General features: G+C 37.6%; 2 protein-coding genes across 12 annotated transcripts in view; one reads left to right on the top strand and one right to left on the bottom strand.

The window, feature by feature from the left end:
• The window catches only part of AGBL3 (AGBL carboxypeptidase 3), a 149271-nt gene that overhangs the window by 102933 nt on the left and 28630 nt on the right, over nt 1-17708 (top strand). The window lies entirely within an intron of this gene.
• Nucleotides 2863-17708, bottom strand: part of CYREN (cell cycle regulator of NHEJ) — an 80167-nt gene continuing 65321 nt past the window's right edge. Inside the window, exon 4 of one of the 2 annotated variants that reach the window (XM_017012595.2) lies at nt 2863-5142. Coding sequence is in view for 1 of the 2 variants with exons in the window: in NM_001305630.2 (NP_001292559.1) it covers nt 5134-5142 (9 nt within the window). In the remaining variant the exon portion in view is untranslated. The remainder of the gene's footprint in view (nt 5143-17708) is intronic. The other variant, NM_001305630.2, reaches the window with a different exon arrangement.

A 17708-nucleotide genomic window follows, 5' to 3' on the forward strand; every position in this document is an offset into this window, starting at 1 on the left:
CCCTGCATTGATGCCTGTGCATCTGGTGGAATGACTGTCCCTTCCAAACTTTCCACAGTGGCTCTTGTAGGGAGACTTTCACCTACAGTTGGGTTTCTGTGTGCCATTTGGGAAGGATGTGCTGACTTGTTTCTGGATAGGTGCAGTGGTATAGTCTCCATGAAGTTTTGTCTGTATTCAACATAAGCAATAACTGTGGTTGCCTCAGTGGTATAGGCTGCAGAGGTTTGTGGCAGCAGCAGCAAAGGTTGTTCATCTCTTCACTGTTAAGGGCTTTTGAGGTCTTCCTATTTTTGTTTTCCCCATAGTGGGAAGACTTAGCTGAAGAGATCCCTCTTGTTGTCAAGACTGACACAACCTACAAGCAGCTGCAGTGGTGTGGGGTTCCAGGTGCAGGTGCTTGGAGTGGTTGTGGGACCAGGGTCTTAGACTCAAGGACTCATGAAACTATTGTGGTACCTGGGTCTTCCAGTGCATGTTCACTCTCTATGGCAGAGTTGGATGTAGGTTCCTCCACAGAGCCAGGATCTGTGAATCTGAGGCATCCCATGGGGCCAGGTTGTAGCTGTAATTCTACTTCTAAGCTGGACTCAGCACTGGCCTGACTCTGGGGAGGAAGGAGCGCTCTGGAAGTTTGGGCCCAGCAGGCAGGATATGGCTGCAATTCAGGAACCTGAGGCAATAAGACTCAGTGATAACCCAGATTCCAGTGGATGAAGCACTGTGTAGTAGTGACTTTAGACCCTGGAATAGTGAGGGTCAGTATATCACAGACTCTGTGAGGCCAGGTGCATTGGCAGCAAGTACCCCAGTGTGGTGAACTACAGCTGTCATCTGGGCCCTAGAGGGCCCAGCAGAGCAATGACTCCATTTTCCAGGGAGGGGGTATCTCAGCAGCTCAGACTCTAAGGGGCTAGTTCAACTCTAGGGAAACAGAATACTCTAGTTGTTTGGCCTGTAGGGTGGGGCATCTCAGCTCAGCCATTGCTATTTCCTTGGGACACAGGGTACTACGTCAGCTCAGTCCTGGGATGCACAGCTGCTCAGCTCAGCCAGGGCACCGATCCTCCAAGGGGAAATGTACTGCTACAGCTCAGGGCTGGGGGCTGTGACTATTCTGGGTGGCCCAGGCACCATTTCCCTGGGATACAGGGCACGACTCCAGCTTAGGTACTGGGGTACGTGACCACTCTGAGTGACCAAGGCACCATTTCCTGGGATACAGAGTACTGCTTTAAGTTAGGCACTGGGGAGGCATGACTACACTGAGCAGCCAAGGTACTGTTTTCCCAGGAGGTAGGGTACCACCTAAGCTCCACCCTAAGGGTGAAAGGGGAGGGAGAGTGTAACAGCTTCAGTTGAGTTTCAGAGAGCTCAGTTTGAGGATGTTGGACCACCAGCCCTGGGGTGTTTCCATAGCAGCCTAGTCTCAGGGATGAAGGGGAGCTATAGCTACTCACCCCTGGTGCAAGACATACTTCTGCTGTAGTTCCAGTTCCAAGATGACAGCTCCTTCTCTGGGGGGAGCACAGCTAGTGGAGTCCAGGCAGCTCCTTCAGCTGTGAGGAAGGACTGTGCCTGTAAGGAATGCAGGGACCTCAGTGGTGAAGTCAGTAGGTGTCTAATGTGTTGATGGAGGTTACTGGGATCCTCTTGCTTTCTCTTCCTTGCTGTAGGAAGAAGTTCCTCCTGATTCCCAGCTGACCGTGGTTGGAGGATGGGGTGGTGGAGTCCTGGTGTTTCCTTCCATTTTCCATATGGCCTTCCCTAGTTTCTGCACTCACCAGGGTTTCTGTTACTCCTCTCATGCACTCTGGTGCTCTCCCTTAGTTATTTTCATTAAAACATATAGTTGCCCCTCAGTATATGTGGGGGATTTGTTCCAGGACCCCCATGTATACCAAAATCTACACATACTCAAGTCCCACAGTCAGCCCTGTACCCACATTTTCAAAAAATTGACGCTTGATGTACATGGGTTTCACATCCTTTGAATACAGTATTTTTTATCATGTTTGGTTGAAAAATATCTGTGTATAAGTGGATCCACACAGTTCAAACCTGTGTTGTTCACAGGTCAAGTGTAATTGTTTATTCATTGTTCTTTTTGAGGGCTGTGAACTAGGGTCTTCTAGTTAGCCATCTTGCTGACATTACTCTGAGAAATAAAAAATTTTTTGACAATTTCTAGCTGCAGCATAGAAACCAAGTTCTCTAACATGACATGAAAGACTTCCAGTGATCCTCTGACCCTGACATTTACAAAGATGATCCTGTTGCCTCAGCAAATATCAGTCTTCTCACCTCCTTGCTTCTGCTCATACTGACTTCACTGCCTGAAATATACTTCTCCCTCTCTTAAACTAGACTAGCTACTCATCATTTAAGGCATAAGCACCAAGGTTTAATAAGATTCAAACAGTTCCTTAAAATAAGAGTGAGATGGATTGAGTCACAGTTACGCACAAGTTGGTCTGCTGGCTCAGAGAAGGGAATCTAATCCACCTGGAAATCTGCAAGAATGATTTCTTAAAGAATTTAATCTTTAAATCATGATGTAGTCTTAACTGAGAAGTTAGGCATTTAGGGTGGAGAGGAAAATCACTTCCTTGACTTCTTAAAAGACTATTGTCAATGGTTCTGTGACCTTATATGTAAATGCTTTCCTTACTTGTAATATATCTGGGATGGAGAGAACTCATTCAGAGCCTTATGATTTCTCTCATCTCTTCCAATATTTATTCTCCTTTTCCAGTTAGAGGAAAACTCTGTTTAATAGAAAGAGAAAAGTAACTTATGAGCTGAGGAACTCTGCTCTTTGTCATCCATAAATATTACAAAATAATTCCAGAAGTATAAATCTGAACATTCATTGGTATATTTTTATTCTGAATATAGCTACATAAAATTTTGTTGTCAACATTTTTTTCAAATCTTGGTTTATTTGAGGTTTAATCATCCTGAAACTATTCTATGGTTTATCCACTCTCTTATATTCAACCTTTGTTACATAATCTTTCCATTGTTGTTCATGTTCTTTTAAAAATCTGATGTTTCTCTGCTTCCCAGAAGTCCCAACTTGTAATAGTAAGTGGTTGTGCCAGACACTTGGGTACAATGGTAAATAAAATATAGCAGAGTGGGTGACAAGTAAATAGACATAGTAATATGAAACAAATGCTACTTATTGTGTTATGGGGTTACATCGGAGTTGTTTGTGGGTAGGAGCAAATCAGAAAAGGTTTCTCAGAAAAGGTAATTGTTAAGATTTCAGGGGCCAAATAAATTGAACTTTTTTTTTAACCAACTTCTATATCTATTAAGAATTAGAATGAAAAAGTAAGAGAAAATACTAGCAAACCAAAAGGGATTATACACAATGACCAAATAGGATTTATCCCAGAAATGCAAGGTTAGTTTAGCATACGAAATTATGAAAATTAAACAATATAATATACCATGTTAATAGAATATAAAGAAAAAGGCACATGGTCATCTCAATAGATGCAGAAAAAGTATCTGGCAAAATCCAACATTCTTTCATGATTAAAAAAGAGACACTCAACAAATTAGGAAAGATAGAATCTTCCTCTACTAAAAAAAAAAAAGCCATCTTCAAAAATCCTGCAGCTAATGTCATAGTTGGTAGTGCAAGACTAAATGCTTTTCTCCCTGAGACCTGGAACAAGACAGGGATATTCACTCTCAACACTTCTATTCAACATTATAATGAAGGCTTCAGCCGGGCAATAAGGCAAGAAAAAAAAAAAGGCATCCAAATTAGAAAGAAAAAAGCGAAGCCATTTCTATTTGTAGGATATATGTTCTTGTATATAGAAAATCCGAAGGAACACACACACACACATACACACGCCACACTATTAGCACTAATAAATGAGTTCAACAAGGTTGCAGGATAAAAGATCAATAGGCAAAAATCAGTTGTAATGAATGAACTGTATGGTATGTGAATTACATCTCAAAAACCTGTTATAAAAATCAATTGTATCTCTATACACTAGCAATGAACATTTAAAAAATGAAATTAAGAAAACAATTCCATTTACATTAGCATCAAAAAGAACAAAATACTTAGGAATAAATTTTACAAAAGAAGTACAAGACTTATAAACTGAAAACTACAAAAAACACAGTTGAACTGTATTAAAGAAGCTTTAAATAAATGGCAAGATAACTCTGGTCATGGATCAGAAGATTTAATATTGCTAGATGGCAATACTCCTCAAATTGATAGATTCAGTGCAATCCCTATCAAAATGTCAGCTACCTTTTGTGCAGAAACTAACAAACCAAATCTGAAATTTATATGGAAATACAAGGGACCCAGAATAACCAAAGCAATTTTGATAAAGAACAATGTTTAAGGATTCCTGATTTCAAAACTGACTACCAAGCTATAGTAATTGAGACTGTGTGGTACTGGCCTAAGGGTAAACATATAGATAAATGAAATAGGATTGAAAATATGTAAATAAACCTTTATATATATTTCAATTGATTTTTCAACAAAGATGCCAGGACAATTGGATGGGGAAAAAAAATAGTCTTTTCAGCAAATGGTACTGGGACAACTGGATATCCACATGCAAAAGAATGAAGTTGGCCGTGTTCCTTATACCATACACTAAAAATAATAAAAAATGGATCACAGAAACAAATGTAGGAGTTAAAACTACTCTTAGAAGAAAATATAGACTTACTATTTAAACAGATAATAAGGGGCCTTCTCGTTTTAGCTGCAACATGAATAATGCTTGAAAGTCAACATTCCTGTCCTTACAACAACAAAAAAGCTGAACAAACTAAAAATCAGCAACTTATTGGATCCATCAGAGAACTGAGGCTGACAAGTAAACTACTACCCTGAAATCTGAAGAGACAGACGAATCCAGGGAGTCACTGCTGAGATCTGCTTGTCTGAGGCAGAAGCTGCTAGAATCATAAACTGGTAGGAACACTTAAACAGTGATTTTAACAAATTGCCAGAGGCTGAGTGCGCACTAGCTTGAAAGTGAGAAACTCCTGGTGGCCATAGTCTTGTCTGGAGCTTCATTTTTGTGGACTTTATCTTCAGGAATCCCACCAGGTTCTCATAGAGCCAAGAAAGACCTCTTAGTTGCTCTGGAAAGGGGAGAAGAAGAGTAAACATTGTGAAATACACCCAGAGCATTCTCCGTAACAAGGGCCTACTCTCTTAGGGTGTTAACTCTAAAAGGAGAAAATCAATAGGTTAGAGACAAATGAAGCATTTATTCAGAATAGGAATTGCAACCTGGGTAGTAGTCAGAGACCATACCACCCAAGAGGAGCAAGAGGCCTTACATTTATAGGAATTTATTCAGATTACATAAGTTGTTTGTCAGATTTTTCATTGGTTTACCAAACAAAGAAGGCTTTAATCATTAGTAGAATGGTGCATTTGCAACAGCTGGCAAGGAAAAATTATATACAGAATCCCTTAAAGACTGGGATCAGTTTCCTTGTATTGTTGAGAGCACAGATGTTTGCAAAGGAACTTGGTTTTCATAGTTCCCTTGTTGGTCTCACAGTTCATCAGCAGTTCAACATGGAGTAAGTAGCCCAAGATAGAGTCACTCATGTTAAGCCTGGAACTCTGCTAAGTTCACAAGGTGAACAGTCTTTACCAGAACCTTATCCTATTTTCGGGGAGGGATATTTCTGCAACTCCAGCCTCCTCTAGTCTTCCTGTCTCACTGGAGGGTTGGAGGAAGAAAAGCTAAGAAACACTTATTAAGGTCATAGCCCAGGAACACAGGCCCACTTAGACTGAGATTTAAAAATAAGTTTATAGGATACTTCCTCTCCCCCATACCTTACCACCACACCAACATGACTCCAGTATAATAACAGTGGTTTACAGCTGATAAAGCAGCAAGAAAGACAGATTCTATCTGATAAGTCGTTCTTTGGAAATCCTAAAGACAACAGGAGAGACAAAAACAAATATCCTAGAGGAATTCCAAGCCTTTGATACTAGTGGCTACAGCAAACATTAAACAGTCCAATTCCTTGTCAGATTAATATAAAACCCCATAGTAAAGGCCTATTAACTTCAGTTTTTGTTACCCACTGTCCTGTGACCAACAAAAGATTTTAAAGCATTTTAAAAGGCAAGAAAATACAAAAGCCATATGTTATCTTTGCTTTCAGTTCCCCAAAATAGAAAATGGAAGCAACACTGTTTTTTGTGCTAATTGGATACATCATAGATTACCCACCATTCAAAGTCACTGTCACTTTTTTTCCCCTTGACTGCTGATGTTGGCAACCATGATTTTTGCTGCTCACAATAATGGATCATCCAGGGGAGCATCACTCTGAGTGGACGGGGGTACTGAAGTGCAACTTAAGTGTGTTGCAATCTGGAGTGCTAACAATTCATCTTTGGGCAGGACACAGTGGCTCACGCCTGTAATCCCAGCACTTTGGGAGGCTGAGGCAGGCAGATCACCTGAGGTCAGGAGTTCAAGATCAGCCTGGCCAACATGGTGAAACCCTGTCTCTACTAAAACTACAAAAATCAGCTGGGTGTAGTTCCACATACCTGTAGTCCCACCTACTTGGGAAACTGAGGCAGGAGAATTGCTTGAACCTGGGAGGCGGAGGTTGCAGTGAGCTGAGATCATGCCACTGCACTCCAGGCTGGGTGACAGAGACAGACTCTCTCTCAAAAAAAAAAAATTAATCTTTGACTTTACCTGTGAGTTAACTGTTTTGCTTACATTGAGATAGCACTAACTTAATTTCAGTGTTGTGTATATTGGGATCATGTTTCCTAAGAGTTCAGACAATGAAAAGAGAATGAGTATAATACCAATGCCAGCATGGCCCAAATGTCACCAAAAAAGAAAAAGAGGAAAGAAAGAAAGAAAGAGAGAGACAGACAGACAGACAGACAGAGAAGGAAGGAAGGGAGGGAGGGAGGAAGGAAGGAAAGAAAGAAAGAAAGAGATATATATGGCTATTCTTTTAATGACTCGTGGAAGAACATATACAACTAGGAAGATACCCAAAATAGAACATCACCAAAAAAGAAAAAGAGAAAAAAACAAAAAGAAAAAGAAAGAAAGAAAGAAAGATAGATAGATAGATAGATAGATACATAGATAGATAGATAGATAGATAGATAGATAGATAGATAGGGCTATTCTTTTAATGACTGGTGGAAGAACTTATACAACTAGGAAGATACCCAAAATAGAACATCACCAAAAAAGAAAAAGAGGGAAGAAAGAAAGAGAAGAAAGAAAGAGAAAGAATGAAAGAAAGAAAGAAAGAAAGAAAGAAAGAAAGAAAGAAAGAAAGAAAGAAAAAGGGAAGAAGGAAGGACATACATGGCTATTCTTTTAATGACTGGCGGAAGAACATATACAACTAGGAAGATACGCAAAATAGAGCATATGACAAAATATGCAGAAAAGAATTTGGGATTGTGCATTATAAAGGAAAGGATGTGAAAGCACATATGAAGACTGAATCTCAGGAGTCCTGGAAGAGACAAGCAAGTACTTCTAAATCAATTGAAAGTGTTTTTATGACCCAAGAAGATACCAATGCTCAGTTGAACATAATAACTGGTGAATTTGCTTGGGCATACCACCCAAATGAATGCTTATCACATCAACAAATGAATGCTTATCACATCATTCATTCCCTTGATTGCTTGATGAAACAAAGTAAAATTACATTTCCTGGTTCAAAGGTTACGACTAAAATATCCCGTCGGTCAACAAAGGGAAAATTTTGTAAAAGATGTGTTGGCCTCTTAAAGGGTAGAGCTCATTTTGTCAGATCTTACCAACAATAATGTTTTCTACAGTGTATCAAGTGATACACTGAATCATGGCAACAAAAGAAAAAATCCCCATGGCTTTTAGGTACTTTGATTTGAAAAGTGAGGTTTCAAATAATCTTGATTTCTATGAATATTTTAATGAAACCAAAGAAAACATAAAACCAAATATTGCTAGCTAATATTTTGTCCAAAAACTAACTAGACTTTGCTCATCAATCTGCATTATTGGCAATGAAAATGTAAATTTTGGCATGTTTCATTCAGTCTGTGAACTTCTTATCAAAGAAAATGAAAAGATCTTACCCACTAAATGTCTTCCATATGTTGTACTGTGAAGGGTATGATTTGCTAGCCTGTGACATTGAGGCTTTTATAATAAAAGTTTGGGGTCACTTTTTAATTTCCTGAAAACATACAGAAGCACTGAATGAGACTTCTGACTTTATGGAAATGGAAGAAGATATCCTCCTTAGACATGTACCTGAGTTATTTGATATTATATGTAGGTTGTGACAAAGACGTGTATGGTAAAAAATGACATTTGGGAAGAAATAAGACTGACTCAGAACTCAAAAATATGTCACCAGAAAGGAGCATACAAGTTAAACAGTACTAAAATTATAATTTATTTGTAATCTATGCTCAGTTTAAGTTCAGATTACCTCAGTGCTTTAAAAACATTTTCCCTGAGAAAGAGAAGTTTAACTTATAATGACATTCAATGTGCTTTAGATAATCTATCTATAAACAGGATATTTTAGATATGGAGACCCTACATGATGAATTTATAGATGCAAAGGGCCTAAATGACAAACAGTTAGTCTACCAAAATAGGTCTACAGATACAAAGTGAGTGGACAGTTTTGAAAAGCTGGAAACCAATTCCTACAAGTCTAAATACCTGCCGTTGCTAATAAGTAAAGTCTAAATACAGTCATCCCTTTGTATCATGGAGGATTGTTTCCAGGATCTCCTACAGATACCAAAATCTGCATATGCTCAAGTCCTGTTGTAAAATGGCATAGTGTTTGCATATAACCTATGCATATCCTCCAGTATGCTTTAAGTCATCTCTAGATTACTTATAATACCTGATACAATGTGAATGCTATGTAAAAAGTTGTAAGACTATATTGTTTAGGGAATGATGACAAGGAAAAAAGTCTGCACGTGTTTGGTACAGATGCATTTTTTTCCTAAATATTTTCCATCCTCAGTTGGTTAAATCCACGGATGTGGAGCCCACACAAACAATGCCAACTGTATTCCATGCTGAAAACATTTTTGTTGACAGGATATCTAACTTGATGTCATTGCATTGGAATGATACCAGGAGCAGTGTAATGTGGGCTTGATAAGAGCAGATCTGAAAGTCAAAGGGAATTTCGCATTTAAGTGAGAATACACTGTTTAATCACTACATCAAAGAAAGATATCTCAAAGGCTGCAGGCAGTTCAGAGAAGTATTATTGGAAAAAGAAACAGGAAGAGCAAAAATATCCTACTTTATCATGGGACACTAAGAAATATGTCATTGTTAGTTTTTAATAAATATTTACATTGATCTTTTAAAAGGTCTTATCTATAACCTAAGAATATACAATAATAATATGACATATAAAACTTAAATATCCACTAAAGAGCTAAAATGTGTATCAGAGGAGAGAAACATTATAAAAAAATTACTTTTCTCACACATACTATTAATCTGTTCTACTATTACTACTAATTGCCACTGTTAACTAGTCCTGTTGTTGTTTTGCCTAATCACCTGTATGTAACAGCAAAGTAAATAATATAGAATAATAAAAATGTTAAACACTTTTCATATTTCATTTTAAAATAATATGTGTATGTAATTATTATATGTTAGACTATTTTTTGGTCTGGTATATCTGTGTCCTAGATTGGCTCTAAAAATGTTGGTTACCTTAGTGTACCTGTCACTGTCTTTCATAGATCCTAACATAGATAAATTCAGTTCTGGAATGTTTAACATTTATTAGATAGATTAGGTATTTATATTGTTTGCTGTTCTCTTGAAACAGTTTAATTTAAAGGCTTCCAGGGGAAATATGTATGCATATATTTTGTGTGTCTGAATGAAACAATGGTAGGTTAATTGAAGATAAGCTCAATTAAACTAGCCATTAAATATATGAAGTAATTGTCAAGAAAGTTAAAAATTAAGTTTTATTGATTTTTAAGACCTAACTTCAGATATTTTATGGTATATTCTCTTTTTTAGTGAAAATACCTGAACGAGCCCCTTCTTGGCTTCTAAAAAAATATTTGAGGTAGGAGAACTGTACTTGATTTCTTCTACCTGACTACCTTACACCTTTTCCTCTGTCTTATAAGATTTTGATTTTGAATTAAAGCAACAGGTAAAAGTGACTTTTTGGATAACCATTGCTAATCAGATGTCTCCTCATATTCTACATAGTATCTGTGACTAGGTCAGTTTTATACACAGTGCCCCACAAGATGTGTTTTAGCAGGTTCTGGGAAGATTTCGCTATCCCCAGACTACCCCAATAGATGCTTTAAAATCTAGTTAGATATTTATTTCTGTGCATTTAGCATTGTATTGTCTGAGTTTCTCTTTTTTTTTTTTTTTTTTTTTTTGAGATGGAGTCTCGGTCTGTCGCCCAGGCTGGAGTGCAGTGGCATGATCTCAGCTCACTGCAAGCTCCGCCTCCCAGGTTCACGCCATTCTCCTGCCTCAGCCTCCCGAGTAGCTGGAACTACAGGCACCCGCCACCATACCTGGCTAATTTTTGTATTTTTAGTAGAGATGGGGTTTCACCGTGTTAACCAGGATGGTCTCGATCTCCCGACCTCGTGATCTGCCTACCTCAACCTCCCAAAATGCTGGGATTACAGGCGTGAGCCACTGCACCCGAGTTTCTCTTTAAAAAAAAAAAAAACACTGGTGGCATAAGATAATTATCTAGCACTTTAGAATGAATGACAATCAAATGCTTTACTATCCATTGCAGCAACTGGAGCACTGGTCATGGGGGGATAAAACTAATACTAAAAACTGGAGAAAGAAGAGAATGGGAAGTCAAATATAACAGACAAACTTTATAGTTTTGTCTAAACCAGTAATTATTATATCTCTATCACCCTTGGCAAGTTTCCCCTTACTTAGGAATAATATAAACAACTGTCTGGATGGTGGAATAGGTAACCATAGGTAAGTATTTGAGAACCAACTAGATTTGTACAACAGAGAGACCATGGTATATCCTCTCTTCCTTCCTGGCTTCTCTTCTAAGAACTCAGTTTCTGTTAAATAAAATGGGTTCTGATGAAAGATGTAGACTCTCTTGCCCCAGAAATATAGAAATTTAGGTAAGAGACCAACATGTAAAGCATCTTTGGGCCTACTTTCACTTGGATCTAGAATTGGTTATTTTAAACTGACTTAATTTTTTAAAATGTATTATTTATCATGTCTTATGGAAAGAAATAAAATGATATATCAAGACAAAAGAAGGTAATAGAAAAAGTACTGCAGTTAGAAGATGTGAATGCTACACCCACCTCTGCCCCTTACTAGTTATGTGATCTTGAGCAAATAGCTTAACCTCTCTGATTCCCCTTATGTAACATGGGAATAACATTGGCCATCCTGCCTACATCATGAGACTGATCAGAGCACCAAGTATGATAGTGTATTAAAAGACTTTGCATACCCTGAGGTGTAATATGCAAATATAACATGGCTATTACATTACTCTTACATGAGTAGCTTACTGTTGACAATGAAATCAGAGGACCCAATTTTTTTCATCTCCCAAAGTATGACTCAGAGTCATAGCAAAGACCAACACAAACATTTTTTAGAAATCAGTGAGAGGCCAATCTAGGAAAAAAATTCCCCTCAAGGGAACTGATTTGTATGGAAACTGTTTCAAAGTGACATCCCTGCAGTCTCCTATGGGCAAACAAACTTCTACTTGGACTGAGAAGACAAGGATACCAACAGAAGGTTGTTACTTGTTTTTATTGTTTAAGATTTTCATGCATACAAAGATGGTTTTCACTATATCATCATTAACATATCCTATGAAACTTGGATTATGGGAACTACTTTTGTAAAAGGATGAGATTGATAGCTATTTTAGTCCTGTCTGTGAAAAATACTTGCTTTATTTAATTTGTATATGAGTTGAATATAGAAGGAAATTATTTCAGTTTAATATAGCCTTAAAAAAAAAACTTAATTGCTGTATTCCTAATACCTTCCTGTTACTTGATGCCTTTCATCCTCACCACCACCCGCCAAGAAAATAAAAAGACATTCTGGTCACTTCTGCTTCCTAGACATGGGGTTTTCAGTTGAAAACCATCTTTTACTTCATCACTCTTTAGAGTGGCCCTTAACTAATTGAAGACTAATATAGTTCATAGTTTCTGTCTTGGGATATTTCTATACTGAAGTGCCCAACAGAAGGGCAGAAAAGATTGGCCCAGCCTTGATTCCATCATGGTTGATATGGTTTGCCTGTGTCCCCACCCAAATCTCATCTTCAATTATAGCTCCCATAATTCCCACATGTTGTGGGAGGGATTCCATGAGAGATAATTGAATCATGGAGGCGGCGTCCCCCATGCTGTCCTCATGATAGTAAATAAGTCTCACGAGATCCGTTGGTTTTATAAGGGGTTTCCGCTTTCGCTTTGCTCTCATTCTCTCTTGCCTGCTTCCATGTAAGACGTGCCTTTTGCCTTCCACCATGATCGTGAGGCCTCCCTAGCCACATAGAATCGTGATTCCATTAAACCTCTTTTCCTTTATAAATTACCCAGTCTGGAGAATGTCTTTATCAGCAGCATAAAAACAGACTAATACAATGGTAATTCATGTTAGTTTAAATTATAGTAAGTAAGGCTAAAGTCAAATTCACCGCTCCAAATCTGTGATTACTTAAATATTATCTGCTGAGCTTCAATGGAACATAAAGTTTCTTCATTAGGTCTAAAAATTGGACTACCATGGAAATTATACTTATATTTTCTTCTGTTTCTGGAATGAATTGACATTTTTAGTTTACCTTCCCTAAAGTGTTTTATAAAAAACAGTCATTCTATTCATTAATTCTTAAAAAATGTTAATAATATCAAAGATAATAATATGGAATAATTGGCCAATAAAATTTTATACTCCATTGACATAATCCAAAGCATTGAAACAATGCATCTCAAAATATGCACCACACTTACTCATGTTCTCAGTATTATGTGGCTATGACAAGCCAGTAGACCATTTCATGAAGGCTTAAATTTTCACCAAGAGTACTTTCAGTATGAGAGAACTTTGGTCCTTTCTCTTGTGGTTTTTTTTTTTTCATTGCTCTAATGCTTGGAAGGTTTTACCCCATCTCCCATCTCCAGATCATAAAATGATCATCTATTTGGCTCTTAAATATTCATATAAAAATTAACCCTAACCCTTGTCTTACACCATAGCAAAAAAAAATTAACTCAAAATGGATCATAGATCTAAATATCTAAGCTAAAATCATAAAAACTTATAGGAAAAAGCATGGGAGAGAATCTTTATGGTCTTGGAATAAGAAAAGACTCCTCAAATAGTACTCATAAACACCAATTATAAAAGAAAAACTTGGTAAATGAACTTCATCAAAATCATTCTCTTTAAAAGACACTGTTAAGAAAATTAAAATGCATGGGACATATTGGAAAAAAATTACCAAATGTACAACCAATAAAGGCCTTGTTTTATACCTATGTCATTTCTTCTTTGAACTTGGTAAACACAAACACAATACTCCGGCAGAATCCACTCTTCTACTTAGCCAGACCATCCGCACCTGGAAATAAGTCATGGCATTCCAGGAATCATTTCTCTTTCTTTGGAACGTGCTTCACCTGCCTAGATTTTCTGCTTATGTTAGCTGTCTATAATCATTTCTTCTAATGCTCTTGGTGGATTCTAAATATTAATCACTGCAGCAAAAAGAAATCAAATTATTGAAGCTGAGTGATAGGTTTAAGAGGGAGTTCCTTATACTAGTCTCTCTATATTCGGGAATATAGAAAATGTTTTAAGTGAAGTCCAAAAATATACTCTCACAACTATCAATAATCTGTTCTTGAATCAAACTCTCACCCATATGAGTTAGAGTATAGAATATTTCCAGTGTTTCTTTATTTTCTTAATATGCATGCTTTTTTCTTAGGAAAGATTTTTAAAAATCAGCCTACAGGAGTTTTATCTGATCCGTCTGCACTGTATTTAACAGAAAGGCCTTCAAGTTTCTGACATATGGAAACCCATAATCCCTACTGTTTTCTTATGGTAGTCAGTTTCCTCTTTTTCACATTCTATCTCAGTAGGAGACTGAGAGGGGAATAATAGATATCTGTAGTCACATCATATCTCACTGAAAGTTGGAATCTGGACAGGTATAAATAAGCAGAGTCAGGCAGATTGAGAATCTACATTAGCTCAATTCCAAATTTAAGGAATATAGGTTACATTTCAGCTCTTGCAACCTCATCCACGTCTCTATCACATTTTCTCCATTCCTTGTGTTGTAATTTTCTTCAACTGCTTCAACTGCTTTATTTTTTTTTAATGTAAGGATGTTCATCATGGTATTATTTTATTTTTAAACTTTGAAGTTTGGGGTACATGTGCAGGTACCCCATATAGGTAAACTTATATAGGTAAACTTATGTCATGGGGTTTGTACAGATTATTTCATCACCCCAGTACCCAATAGATACTTTTTCTGATCCTCTCCCTCCTCCCACCCTTCACCCTCAAGTAGGCCCCAGTGTCTGTTGTTCCCCTCTTTGTGTCCCTATGTTCTCATAATTTGGCTCCCACTTATAAGTGACAACATGTGATATTTGGTTTTCTGTTCCTGTGCTAGTTTGCTAAGGTTAATGGCCTCCACCTCCATCCATGTTCCTGCATAGGACATGATCTCATTATTTTCATGGCTACATAGTATTCCATGGTGTATGTGTACCACATTTTCTTTATTCAGTCCACCATTGATAGGCATCTAGGTTGATTCCATGTCTTTGCTATTATTCACAATAGCAATGAATAGCGTTGCAGTGAACATACATATGCATGTATTTTTATGATAAAATGATTTATATTGCTTTGGATATATACCCAGTAATAGAATTACCAGGTTGAGTGGTAATTCTGTTTTTAGCTCCTTAAGGAATCACCATACTGCTTTCTATAATGGTTGAACTAATCTACACTCCCACCAACAGTGTATAAGATTCCCTTTTTTCTGCAACCTTGCCGGCATTTGTTATTTTTTGACTTTTTAATAATAGTCATTCTGACTGCTGTGAGATGGTATCTCATTGTGGTTTTGATTTGCATTTCTTTAATGATCAGTGATATTGAGCTTTATTTCATATGCCTTTTGGCCACATGTATGTCTTCTTTTGAAAAGTGTTCATGTCCTTTGCCCACTTTTTAATGGGGCTGTTTGGTTTTTTTTTTTCTTGTACATTTGTTTAAGTTCTTTATAGATGCTGGATATTTAGACCTTTGTCAGATGCAAATATTTTCTCCCCACTCTGTAGGTTGCCTGTTTACTCTGTTGATAGTTTCTTTTGCTGTGCAGAAGCTCTTAAGTTTAATTAGATCTCATTTGTCAATTTTTGCTTTTGTTGTGATTGCTTTTGGTGTCCTTGTCATGAAATTTTTGCCAGTTCCTATGTGCAGAATAGTATTGCCTAGGTTGTCTTCCAGGGTTTTTATAGTTTTGGGTTTTACATTCAAGTTTTTTTTTTTTTTTTTGAGATGGAGTCTTGCTCTTTCACCCAGGCTGGAGTGCAGTGGTGTAATCTTGGCTCACTGCAACCTCCACCTCCCAGATTCAAGAGATTCTCTTGCCTCAGCCTCCCCAGTCGCTGGGATTACAGGTGCCCACCACCACGTCTGGCTAATTTTTGCATTTTTAGTAGGGATGGGGTTTCACCATGTTGGCCAGGCTGGTCTTGAACTCCTGACCTCAGGTGATCCGCCTGCCTCGGTCTCCCAAAGTGCTGGGATTACAGGCATAGGCCACTGCGCCCAACCTACATTCAAGTTTTTAATCCATCTTGAGTTGATTTTTGTATATGGTGTAAGGTAGGGGTGCAGTTTCAATCTTCTGCATATGGCTAGCCAGTTATCCCAGCACCTGTTATTGAATAGGGAATCTTTCCCCATTGCTTGTTTTTGTCAGATTTGTAGAAGATCAGATGGTTGTAGATGTGCAGCCTTATTTCTGGGCTCTCTATTTGGTTCCATTGGTCTATGTGTCTGTTTTTGTACAGTACCATGCTGTTTTGGTTACTATAGCCCTATAATATAGTTTGAAGTCAGGTAACGTGATGCCTCCAGCTTTGTTCTTTTTGCTTAGGATTGCCTTTGCTATTTGGGCTTTTGTTTGTTTGTTTGTTTCCATATGATTTTTACAATAATTTTTTCTGGTTCTGTGAAGAATGTCATTGGTAGTTTGATAGGAATAGCATTGAATCTGTAAATTGCTTTGGACAATATGACCATTTTAATGACATTGATTCTTCTGACCCATGAGCATGGAATGTTCCATTTGTTTATGTCACTTCTGATTTCTTTGAGCAGTGTTTTGTAATTTTCATTGTAGAGATCTTTCACCTCCCTAGTTACCAATATTCCTAGGCATTTTATTCTTCTTGTGGCTATTATGAATGGGATTGTGTTCCTGATTTGGCTCTCGGTTAGGCTGTTGTTGGTATATAGGAATGCCAGTGATTTTTGTACATTGATTTTGTATCCTGAAACTTCCTGAAGTTGTTTGTCAGCTGAAGGAGCTTTTGGGCCAAGACTGAGGTTTTCTAGAATCATGTTGTCTGCAAACAGGCATAGTCTGAATTCCGCTCTTCCTATTTGGATGCTCTTTATTTCTTTATCTTGGCTGATTGCTCTGGCCAGGTCTTCCAATATTATGTTGAATAGAAAGGTGAGAGAGGGCATCCTTGTCTTGTGCCAGTATTTAAGGGGAATGCTTCCAGCTTTTGCCCACAGTACGATGTTGGCTGTGGGCATGTCATAGATATTTTTAGGTATGTTCCTTCAATACTAGTTTATTGAGAGTTTTTAACATGGAGGAATGTTGAATTTTATCAAAAGCCTTTTCTGCATCTATTGAGAAAATCACGTGGTTTTGTCTTTAGTTCTGTTTATGTGATGAATCACATTTCTTGATTTGCATATGTTGAACCAAACTTGCATCCCAGGAATAAAGCCTACTTGATCATGGTGGATTAGCTTTTTGATGTGCTGCTGGATTTGGTTTGCAAGTATTTTGTTGAGGATTTTTGCATCAATGTTCACCAAGGATATTGGCCTGAAGTTTTCTTTTATTGTTGTGGCTCTGCCAGGTTTTGGTATCAGGATAATGCTGGCTTCATAGAATGAGTTGGGGAGGAGTCCCTCCTCCTCAGCTTTTTGAAATAGTTTCAGTAGGAATGGTACCAGCTCGTCTTTGTACATCTGATTGAATTCAGCTGTGAATCTGTTTTGTCCTGGGATTTTTTTGGATGATAAGCTATTTATTACTGATTCTATTTCAGAGGTCACTATTGAACTGTTCAGGGAATCGATTTCTTCCTGGTTCAGTCTTGGGAGGGTGTATATATCCAGGAATTTATCCATCTCTTCTAGGTTTTCTAGTTTGTGTGCATAGACATGTTCATAGTAGTCTCTGATTATTGTTTTACTGTGGGGTTAGTGGTAACATCCCCTTTGTCATTCCTTATTGTGATTCTTTGGATCTTCTCTCTTTTCTTCTTTATTAGTCTAGCTACCAACCTATCTATATTATTGATTTTT

The sequence above is a fragment of the Homo sapiens genome, chromosome 7 (genome assembly GCF_000001405.40).
Source record: "Homo sapiens chromosome 7, GRCh38.p14 Primary Assembly".
NCBI classification, from domain to species: Eukaryota; Metazoa; Chordata; class Mammalia; order Primates; family Hominidae; genus Homo; species Homo sapiens.